The sequence below is a fragment of the Homo sapiens genome, chromosome 7, assembly GCF_000001405.40.
Source record: "Homo sapiens chromosome 7, GRCh38.p14 Primary Assembly".
Taxonomy (NCBI): Eukaryota; Metazoa; Chordata; class Mammalia; order Primates; family Hominidae; genus Homo; species Homo sapiens.
In genome coordinates this window covers 7,408,529-7,420,579 of record NC_000007.14, presented here as the reverse complement: position 1 = coordinate 7,420,579, position 12,051 = coordinate 7,408,529, and the positions used below count along the sequence as shown (strand labels likewise).

The window sequence follows — 12,051 nt, the reverse complement described above, 5'->3', positions numbered from 1 at the left end:
ATGGCATAGTCTTGGGAATACAGAAGGTGGCTAATGAAGCAATTTTTATTTCTCTCCTTCTTCCCATCATTAGCATCTCTAGTAGGTCTTGCCACAGGGCGTCACCTACCCTCATCAGGTACCACCAATTTTCTGGTAATAGTTGCCAGCTATGAAGCTGTCATGCCTTAGTGAAGCTGAAAATCCTTTTTAGAGTTTACCCTGCAGTTCCAGTTAATGAGGTGGCAGAAACATCATAACTCAAATAGCATAATCTTTGTTGCATACAATGATAAAAGCAACTAGTTCAGGATATGATTATATTTCTTAATGGTTGTTTTTTATTCTTGTCTCTTCTTCCATCCTCTATTCACAATACTCGTAATTACTTTTCCAAATTCTAGAGAAGAGGGTTCTGAAAAAAGTTAATGTTGCCAAGAAGTTAATTGACTTGATTAATTTGAAATGGACCTGGATCTGTTGGTTTGAAGATTGCCTAGGTGGTAATAGAAAAGTGATCTAGGAGAAGAGGGTTCAATTAATACCTTAGTCACATTCAAGAAGTTTTTGATATTAAAATATATATATTGAAAAAAACATAAAGTCTTTAAAAAATTAGTAACTTGTTATTTGTTGTGTCTTTTCAGGGAGAGCCTGGGGTCAGAGGCCCTCCAGGTCCTTCTGGGCCTCGGGGCGTAGGAACCCAAGGGCCAAAGGTGAGTCCTCAGCTCAGTGCTTTGTGTGAGGGTCAGATATCATCAGTGACAAACAAGTGAACAGTAACTTCATAATAAGTGTTCGTCTTGGTGTTGACTTATTTTTTTCTTGGTGACTGATGAAACGTCTTATTTTTCATATCAGGTGAACGTTCAGTAAAATAGAACATTCGAGTTTATAAAGCCATTCACTTCCCCCAAAAGAAATGAGCAAGTCAGCCTCTTTTTAACTGCAAAGTGCTCAGAACATTTCTGGGTTTCTTAGAGGCTGTGCCGTCATCAAGAAGCACATCTTTACTTTGGCAGAGGTGCCTCAGGTGGCTTTTTTAACAGGTCACCTGCTAATGTGTCATTGTGCCCTTTGTGCCACAGCTACTCTGGCAGGGTGTCAGTACAAGGGTCTAGACTGATTGTCCCTGGAGAAGATGAGAGCAACTTCTTTTGGCCCAGTTTCCCTCCTTTCTATGTCTCCTTCAGTTTGGTGGTTATTCATCCTTTTATTCTTTTAATCCAGTGTTTCTCAAAGAGGGAGACTTTGTTTCCCTTCCCTGGCTTCAGAGAACATGTGGCAATGTCTAGGGACATTTTTTGGTTGTAGTAGATCAAGTCCAGAGATGCTGCCAACCATTCTACAATGCCCAGGACAGCCTCCCATCAGAAAGAGTGACTCAGCTCAAAATGTTAATAGTGCTGAGTTTGAGAAACCTAGTTTTAATTGTTCATTCAGTTGCTCAACAACTTTCTTTGATTTGTTCGAAAGTAGGGTAAAGAAGTAGCAAGCATGTTCAATAGGGAAAATAGATGTCAATGAACCACCCACCACAAATTCAAATTTTGAATTGGTATATTCATGCCGAAAATGCACAGAAGTGAATTAGAGCCCATTCTCAGAGAGGAGAGGGAAAAGGCTGTATGAGTCAAAGATTTTACTGAGCATCCCAGAATTACCAAGATTCTCAGTTTATCTCTGTTTTGTCCCTCAACTCAATTTTGGCGGTATGCTATTTTTGAACCTTCTAGATCACTTTAAATGGATGAAGATCCCCCCAAGATGTTAGTAGTCATTATCACTGGGTGATGGGAAGATGGGTCTATTTTTCTTGTTCATGTCATCTTTATTTCTGTTTAATTTTTTTTTTTGCAATGGGCAGGTATTCCTCTTATAATCAGAAAAAGTCAAGCTTTTTTAATACTGGAAAGTAAAAGACTGACTTATACAATAACTTATATTAACCCAGCACTTCTGAAGGCTTCTTCCATCCAGTGTTAATTTAGGAACTTCTGGGATAAGCAACGTTACACTAATTTCTTTACTGTGGGACTTGTTAGAGCCATTAGTCTACTATATTAGTGTGCACTGGAGATCTCCAAGGGAAAGCGCATGCTATTTTCCAATCTTATTCCACCACGAAGTGTTTCCAAAGAAACATGGGCTCAGTTTATGAACAGATACTGGGAAATGCTACACTTGCTTATAGCTTCATCTACACATTTTCCTAAAAATTTGGACATTGATATCCACTGGATCTTTAAGTGCAACCCCAGTGAAATCACACCTTATATTGAAATGGAGCAACATCTTAAGGCTATGTGGAGCCACATGTCAGTGGTTTTCATATGTGGTGCAGGGCAGCCCTGGTGTTCTTGAGCTTGGTGGTAGGGCAGTGAAGGGGGCCCAAGCAGATGAGGCCCTGGGCCTCCATTTCTGCTTAGGCCCAGCGGCTCTGCTTACTGCTTAATTTTTATTTGGATTATATTTAAGGTTTTGTTTGCATAGAATTCTGTGGTTTAAAAATATTGGGGAAGCACTCTAAGTAAAATAGGAAGTAGCTTATAGGCAGCATGAAAGTCCTGGTCAGACTGAAGTAAGAATGCAGCTGAGAGTAGTAATACTTAACGTTGTTTCTTCTTCGATCTTCTTACATTTTGTCTTCAAATTCTCCCCATCTTCTAACAGGGTGATACTGGGCAGAAAGGCTTGCCTGGCCCTCCTGGCCCCCCTGGCTATGGATCACAGGGAATTAAAGTAAGTGAATAGGGTTGTGCTGGAGTCACCTCTGATTTCACCAGAGTGATTGGGAGAAGAGGTTGTAGATAACGCAAAAATGGCTATTATGAAATAGATTTATTGTGAGCCTCGCAGTTAAATGGCATCCAGTGTTTAGAGACATCATCTGGAAGTGTAAAAATGGTATGAGTACAATACTTCAGCAAATGCTAAACATTATATAAATTGCTTGGTGCAAAAGTGAACTGTTCTATGGTTTGTTGCTTTCCCCTCTTTGTGAATTGAATGGAGAATTTATACTCAGTTGCTCTCTCTCTCTCTCTCTCTCCCCCCCCCCTCCCTCCCTCCCTCCCCCCTCCCTCCTTCCCTCCCCCTCCCTCCTTCCCTTACCTTCCTCACCTGTATCCTCCATGGTAGCCCAGGGCTTCCCAATCTTAGCTCACAGTGGAATCACCTAGGGAGCTTTTGGATAGTACTAATGCCCTTTCCCAGAGGAACGAAATCCGAATCTCTGGGAGTAGAGTGTGAGTGCTGTGGTTTTCAAAGCTCTCCAAGGGATTCTCCTGAGCAGCCAAGGTGAGAACCTCTATTCTAGGCCCTGAGTCTGTGTTACTGGAATTCATAGCCATCTGCATGTCACTTTGCTTCTGCGTCAGCAGCAACAAGCTTGTCCAGCATGCTGGGACTCTCAGGGTCTCTCATGTCTCAGTAGACAAATTTGGCATCTAAACATTACTATGTAATTCTAAAAAATTCCCTCTTCTGCTTCTAATATGTTGATGATGTTGTTCTTATCGGTTCACTCTCTTTTTTTCCGATTCCACTGCTGCCCCCGTCATAAGCTGGTTTTTTATTTTACATACATTTATATATATATATATTTTTACCATGCTTAAGCTTTGAAACTGAGTTATTCACCTCTGGATGATTGAGATTGATTCTAAAACTGTGGGAACATTCAAAATAAACTCCTTTTCAAATAGCAGAACTTCTTAGTCAGTAGGAGACAGTAGGAGCTTAAGATAATGTGAAAATCCTGTGTTGAAATTAAACTGCCTACTTCTGTGTAGAGAGAGTAAGCTTAGTCAAGAGCAGAACTCATAGAATGTGTGTTAAATCTCCAGTTTTATCACACAATGTCTAGAGCTTCTACAGCAGGTCTTCTAAATAACTGTTGTTCATCTCTCGGGCTGAGTATCTAAGCAAAGGCCAAATAGGCATGTTGCCCATATTGTACAAGCCCTGGAAAGAAAATACAGCAACACTCTGCTTTCTCATAAACAACACCAATCTCATACTTAATCTTTAAATTCTGTGGTTAGAAGGTGGTAGTGCTGTATACCCAGTTTTGCATGAGTTTGCTTAGGGAATAAACCTATGCCAAACCACAGGTCCTGTCACCAACATGAGCTCAGTTCACACATGCTGTTAGGTTATTGCTGCCACGTCTTTAGGCCTGGGGCCGGTTTTCTCCACTTTGTTATCTGGGAACTACTTCCTCATTCTCACCTGGGTTGTGTTTAATTAATCCTTACCGACTATAACTTATCTGGCTTCCTGCCTCTCCTTATGCCCTCAGGGTTATGCTGTGTCTAAACTCCATCCTGGGTGAAACCAGGTCCTGAAGCCTCCCATCACAGGAAAGCACCAAAATCAAAACTGCCACGTATCCCATCTTATCAGAAATGAGATAAGCTTTTCCTTCACTTAGGGCTGTAGCCTGATGCTGCTTAGCAGTGAGCCCTGACTAAGGCTCACTCATAAAACTTCTCTAGGCCGGGTGCAGTGGCTCATGCCTGTAATCTCAGCACTGTGGGAGGCCAAGGCAGGCAGATCACTTGAGGTCAGGAGTTCAAGACCAGCCTGGGCAACATGGTGAAACCCCGTGTCTACTAAAAATACAAAACTTAGCTTGGTGTGGTGGTGCATGTCTGTAGTCCCAACTACTCAGGAGGCTGAGGCATGAGAATCGCTTGAACCCAGGAGGCAGAGGCTGCAGTAAGCTGAGATAGTGCCACTGTACTCCAGCCTGGATGACAGAGTGAGACCTTGTCTTCCCAAAAAAAGAAAACTACCCAGCACTTTGGGAGGCCGAGGTGGGTGGATCATGAGGTCAGGAGTTTGAGACCAGCCTCACCAATATGGTGAAACCCCATCTCTACTAAAAATACAAAAATTAGCCAGGCATGGTGGTGCGTACCTGTAATCTCAGCTACTCAGGAGGCTGAGGCAGGAGAATCGCTTGAATCCTGGAGGCGGAGGTTGCAGTGAGCCAAGATCGCACCACTGCACTCCTGCCTGGGCAACAGAGTTAGACTCTGTCTCAAAAAACAAACAAAACAACCAGAAAAACCTCTTTAGACATATTGGATTGCCTGGCATCCAGTTGGTAGCAGGGCAGAGGTTCGTCCCTCAGGACTTCCATCTCATTTTCCTGACTGTGGCAAAAACCGCAATTACTTTTGCACCGACGAAATACCATCACTGCAAAAGGGAGGGAACTGAAAAACCAAATTGGTGGCATTCTTCTGAGTCATTTCAAGGATATAGGAACAGTAAAATTTCATTTCTTACATTCATTTGTTGACTTATTTCCTACCCCTTTCCAAAGAGCATTTGAATCAGTGAAATCTGCTTGCAGGTGTGTGTGCTTAGTAGCCTTTGACGGAAAGCTTTGTTGCTGTTAACCTTTAACACAGAAGCCTGAACTGTACTCTGTCTCTCTATCCCCTTCCACTTATGGGAGAAATAAGGGTTGTAGCTGCAATCACAAGTGATTTGCTTCAACCTAACTTAGTTGCTAGAATATTGGCTCTTCAGCCAGTCATTCATTCATTCAGCTGACCAACCAATACGGATTGAGCATCACCTATGTCAGGCAAATAAGCCAAGTGCTAGTATAAAGTAGTGAGTAAAAATATGTGAACTTAGTCCTCATGGAATTTACAGGCTATAAAATAATTAAACTTTGAGTTCTGGAGAGTATAGAGGATGGCACAATGGAGTGAATTTAGATTACAGCAGTAGGCAGGGCCCTTGTGAGGTCCTATAGGCCAAGTAATGAGTTTGGCCTTAATCCTAGGAGCAACTGGAAGTCAGAGAAGAATGATCTGATCAGTTTGGAAGAGACTCACTCTGGCTACCATTTGTAGAATGAATGGACATGACTGGAAGGAATGTGGGAGTAGAAGGGCTTCTCTTTCCATGCCCCTTCCTATTCTCTTGATTCTCTATGTGGAAGAGTATGATCTTCTGGGAACTTCTTTCCCCGGCCTTTCCTGGGGCTCTGGGACCACCCAGGGCTGCTGCTGTGGTAGCTCTGGTCCTGGAAAACCCTGAGAGCACGATGGGCTCGCCCCTCTTTATTTAGTACCATGGCAGCCTCCTGCCATTCCTCTGCTGGCCCAACTGGCTCTGCCCTGAAGTGGAACTCCAGCTCCTTCAGGGCCTTGGGCTTTTTCCCAACCACAGATGTCTGTTGTTTGGATCAATGAATATGGGACTGTGGCTGTTTGATCCTAAAATGGCCTTGGACTTTCAGGTTCATGTCACAGGCCAGGAAGTTATATGATGCTGCCATCTTGTCCCACTGTAAGCCTCCAGCAGTAACCCAGATATAGACTCCAGATATATCAGAAGTCCCACAGATTAAGTCAGAAGGGAGAAGGAATGGGTCTGGACCTGGAGGAATTCCTTTATATGCCAAGTAGCCATTGTGAGGCCAGGAGGGATGTGATCAGAGGGTGCACCACCCAGGTTAAAAAGCACGGAGACAGATGTGGATGGCTTCTCCCCATTCTTCATTTCTAATTGGGAGTTATGCCAGTTTCCCCATCTCCATCCTTGTTTAAGTCCGTTCCAGTGTCCTGATCAGCCCTGACATTCCCTTAGTACTTATTTTCAGAGGACCCAGAAGTCCTTATATAAACACAATTCCTGGTAGCCCTCCTTGACTTTAAAGACTTTGTGAGGTAGATTTGTGGACTGGCTCTACTATAACTCTTCCTATGCATAAATGCTTTATTCATTGAGAGAATTAGCTTCTATGCCACTGCCTTTTGCTCTTCCTGTAGGCTTGAATATGACTGACCCACCCACCCATTTGAACCAAATGTATAATGGTTCAAACATAGTAGAGGGTTTTGCTCACATAACAGTACAATGTGTGTGTTCCTGGTTGGTGGGTGATTTTCTTCCACACAGAATTTTAAAAAACCTTGTCTTCCATTTATGGTTCTTCTGTTGGCTGGGCCTCTTTACCACTTAAACCCAGCAGGCAAAAAGGGAGTATGTAGAAGGGGTATACCTGCTTCATAAACTCTTGGCCAGGACTTGACACATATCCCCTCTGCTCAGGTTTTATTGGTGAGAACTAGTTGCGCGGCTGTACTTAATTGCAAAGTGGCTTGGAAAGGTACTCATGCTGTGTGCCCAGGAAGAAAAGGAACCAGAAGTTTGGTGAAGAGTCAACAATCATTGCCATTCATAATTTAGCCTGTTTCTAGGGAGGATGGAAATTTTAAGTCATTTGTTGCTCTGAAGTATATTGGTGCCTCCAGAAGAGAACAGAAAGTATGGTGGTCTACATGGCAACTTCCTGGCTGAGAATTCCTCTTATGGGGCTATAGCAAAGGAGGGACTGACTATTCCATGCCTAACAAGTTTGTTATCAGTTTTAAAAAATAGCCTCAATGACAGGCTGGGTAATTTGGTGACCTCTATCCAACAGAAACCCTGGGGTCCCCAAAACTGGCAAATAGTAATGACTGCAGTGGTCACACAGTCACAGGCCTAACAGATCAACCTCTGAGACATCTGAAGCCCATAAATAGAGTGAAATACATTCTGCATGATATCTCCCCCCATCTGTATTCTGACCTCTGTGGTGTAAGGGAAAGAGAATGAGGGACTCATTTCTCAGTGGCTTTAGAGCCAGTCAGATCTTGGCCTGAATCTGGGTTTCGATTTTTTCTAGTTGTAACCTTAGACAAATCATTTATCTTTGTTGAATCTCAGCTTACTAATCTTTAAAATGGGGCTAATAAGGCTTATTTTACACAGTGTTAAAAAGAAAAAATTGTATAAAATGTCTAGGACACAGAGTTGATATTCCACCAGAGTGTGGGCTATGGAGTCAACAGATTTGAATCATGGCTTCTCCACTTCCTGAGTATTTCATCTCTCCCTCAGTTTCCATATCTGAGTAATGGGATAATACAGTACTGTTTCCTAAAGTTGTTGTGAGGAATGATTGAAATTAGATAGTATGTGTAATGCATGTAATACATGGTTATATATATGGAAAATGTTTGCAGCTATTCACATTATTATTTCCACCTGCTTCCCTTCCCTTTCGCTAGTCCCTCTTGTATTTTCCAGGAACAAGGCCTAGAATTCTAATACTCAAGTGATTTAATGCTCTTAAGCATAATATATTGGTTACATTAGTTAGTGTAGACATTGCTCCAATACCAAACAGACACCCAAATGTATAATGGTTCAAACATAGTAGAGGGTTTTGCTCACATAACCGTCCAATGTGTGTGTTCCTGGTTGGTGGGTGATTTTCTTCCACACAGAATTTTAGAAAACCTTGTCTTCCATTTATGGTTCTTCTGTTGGCTGGGCCTCTTTATCACTTACACCCAGCAGGCAAAAAGGGAGCATGTAGAAGGGGTATACCTGCTTCATAAACTCGTGGCCAGGACTTGACATGTATCCCCTCTGCTCACATTTTATTGGTGAGAACTAGTTGCATGGCTGTACTTAATTGCAAAGTGGCTTGGAAAGGTAGTCATGCTGTGTGCCCAGGAGGAAAAGGAACCAGAGGTTTGGTGAAGAGTCAACAATCATTGCCATTCATAATTTAGCCTGTTTCTAGGAAGGATGGAAATTTTAAGTTATTTTTTGCTCTGAAGTATATTGGTGCCTCCAGAAGAGAACAGAAAGTATGGTGGTCTCCATGGCAACTTCCAGAATGCCCCGTCATTCTCCTGATACTGTGGGCACAGACACCTGGGCTTATAAGGACTGGGTTTAGCCCGTCATTTATTTTATCCTATCCTAAAAAGAGAAGCTTAGAGCATTGATAATCTTCTTTCTTATTTCAAACAGCATCAGTATTACTCATGGATGACTTAGAAATTGTCAGTAGACAGGCTGAGAACTCGCCAAAGAGCTGGAGGGGGCTTGGGGTTTTTGGTAGGACCAGGAAAGTTCATTCATGTCCATAGCAAAGCCAGGGCCAGAGAATGAGGGACACCTGGAATTTAGTAGGAGCACCATGATTCAAAGGCTGGGGAGAGATGAGCAGGAAAGGATCAGGGGAGGGGGACAAAGCTGGCACAAAGAGCCTGATTTCAGGAGAAAAAGAGGAGTAGCAGTTAGGCTCCTGAAGGAGAATAAGGGAAGGTTTGGAGTCCTGGGTGATTGCTTGGGATGCCAGCAGCATTTGAGACCAAACAGGGGTGTGAAGATGGGTGGGTCAGCTCACCTTGCAGAGTGTAGCATAAATGGGCACAGCCAGAAAATTGCTTCTTCCTCCAAAGCTCTCTGATTCAGGAATTTGGGGCATAATGTGGAACGTTATAAGATTCTTGACTCTGTGCTTAAGATTAATGTCATTTCTTAGGAAGATTTCTTTTGGTTTGTCTCAGTTGTGCCACAGTAACTGTGTTTCTGTAAACTCCAAGGGCTCTTTTAATAGAATCAGGTGTCTTTGCTACCTCTGGCTTCCCTTTACAAGAAAAGATAATGTTTGAAAGAATGTCAGGATTCTGTAGTGGAAATCTCACATGGAGCCTGCCAACCTTCTGCCTGGCTCCTACCTGTGACCTGATTGCTTTGAAAGTGTTTCCAGAATCCACTTGACTAGATTTGTGGTTAGAATGAACCTTTTACAGCACAGAAAATTGCCATGCTTGAAGGCCAAATAGAAACGATTTATTCGTTGAAATTTAACTAACTTAAGGGGGAAAAAGGAATCTCATTTATTAAAAAAGTCAGAGATGGGTTTGAAGTACACTAAGTTGTAAGTACCTGCAGAAGGGTTAAAAAGTATTGACATGAGGAATTTTTCCTTCATCTTCTAAACTCATAACCATGCTGTACAATGGTGTTAATTATGAAGAGAGCAACACACATATATTTTAATATTATGACTTTGGCATTTGAACTTAAAGGTTTTTTTCTCCTTCTTGACTGCAAATAAACAACAGCATTTAAAAAAAAAAAAGGAAGACAAAACCAATCTTGGTAGTAGTAAAATCACTGCATTCAAGTTGAACACACCTCAGAAAGTAATAGAAACAATAAGTTATCCACTTAACGGCATAGCATAGACGATGTGTTTGAGTGCACCAGAAACTCTCTTTGAATTAACCTCTGTGACTTATCTCTTATTGTAATTTTGAAATTCACACGATGACTCCACTTCATAAAAAGGAGGAGTCGAGACCACATGAGAGGCCTCAAGTTTTGAATAGTTTGGTGTTTTAGGATTATACCTGCCAAGTCAATTGTGGCAGGGGGTCGAGGGTGTGGCTTAAAATTATCTTGGTGATCAAAATCTACAAACCTGGTTATAGACATTGAAAGCGTCTCTATACCTTTATTATTTTTAAAACCAAATTGTAAACAATTACCTGGGTTATAAACCAAAATCAAAAGTCCACAGTATTCTCTGTAGGGTAGTACACATCAGGGCACATTTGCATTTATTAACTGAGGCTGGATCTGTGGCCATTTGTGTTTTTCACTTACTAGTTCACGCTTTCATTTTCCTCCTGGACCAAGTTGCTTTCATTCCTTCAAGCCAGTTAAGAAAAAGGATAATTTTTAAAAAATAATTCCTAAATCAGAATCTGAGGATATAGTAGGCTGTTTTCCTCTTTCAATCTCCTTATTAAATTTTCCTTTTTAATAGCCAATTCTCCAAATCAGATTTGGAATGAAAACTTTAGGCTCTCAATTGAGTGGGGCTTGAATCATCATTATTACCGGCTTATATTTCTTGCCTATTTGCTATGAACAAGGCCCTGTGTGATGACAGTGACAGTCACAGATTTGCTGAAATACCACACTCCCTACACTGCCATGAAACAAAAAGGAAAAGCAAATTTTGAAATCACGTTTTTGAATTAAATAGGGTGCCCTACCTCAAGGTTTACTATAGTTTCCAAATTCCAAAAGAAAAATAAAAATGGCTGCTGACTTGGTAATAAAGATAAGACATTGTTCAGTACCATGTGCTGATTCTGAATATTTAAAAAGGAGATTTGAAAATATCACCAAAAGTTAGAAAATCATGTGAAAGATTTCATTTGAACTGTCATATACTAAAACTACTCATCATGCTATAGTAGTCCATAATTTATAATTATGGTACACATGCTGCTGGTTTAAATTGGTTTTTTTTCTCTCCTTTTCCTTCATTTCTTTCTTTCTCTCTCCCTTCCTCCTACCCACCTACTCATATCTGTCTAATATATAAAGATGTAGACATCATATATTTATTTTTTCATTCTTGTAACAGATTCTGTCCATATAAAACCAAGTCAAGTGAAAGACATGAATAAGTTACTCTTAGCTGCTCCTACCACCTTTATAGCGCATGAATTTCATTGTTGAAAATTTATAAAAGGCATTTTATCCTTTTCCTACCCATCAGTGGTTGGTCAGAAGTAAGTTACTAGTATAAATTTTTCTCCATCTCCTTTTAGCAAGGTAAGAGGTATTTTTAGTACTTAGAGCTTTGGGCTCCTGATGAGAGGTAGGGAAATATTATACTCTCTAAATATGATGTATTATTTTATTCAAGCCTCACCATCCTGTGAGGTAGGCTATAGAAAAGTAAGGCACAGAGATGTTAAACAACATCTCCCAAATCACTCAGAGCTGCTCTTCACACGACCTACTTGAAGTAATCATGCGTTAGGGAGTAATCAAATCAGAATAAATGTTAGAGAGAGAAAACTAATCAATTTGAGTTCTTAAAAACAAAGTGTCACTCAAAATTTTAATTTGCATCTTGAAATTTAAAGTTGACACATGGAGATGTGAGGTATATAAAGTGAGGTCTTTTTTTCCTGATAATCTATTTTTTTTATAAGATAGAAGTATTACATAAAGAGCAATTCTTTTTCCCTAAGTACAGTTCTTCAGAATCCAGGAGTTGCATTTAGTGACCTTTTGAAATCAATGCTAGCTTTACAAGGAAAAACAACAGCAGGATCTGGGCTGGCATGTGTAGCTGCACTTGGGTGGGGCTGTAATAATCACTTCTCATACATTCAAAGACTTACCAAGTTCTTTCCTGTTTGACTGGTTGAAGGACATGTATTTTTGTAC

General features: G+C 41.0%; 1 protein-coding gene across 8 annotated transcripts in view; it reads left to right on the top strand.

Annotated features, from left to right (window-relative positions):
* COL28A1 (collagen type XXVIII alpha 1 chain) overlaps positions 1-12,051 on the top strand; it is a 205,677-nt gene that overhangs the window by 123,291 nt on the left and 70,335 nt on the right. For all 8 annotated transcript variants that reach the window (XR_926936.4, XM_011515360.3, XM_011515358.4 and 5 more), the window contains 2 exons: positions 627-695; positions 2,653-2,721. Coding sequence is in view for 7 of the 8 variants with exons in the window: in XM_011515360.3 (XP_011513662.1) it covers positions 627-695; positions 2,653-2,721 (138 nt within the window). In the remaining variant the exon portion in view is untranslated. The remainder of the gene's footprint in view (positions 1-626; positions 696-2,652; positions 2,722-12,051) is intronic.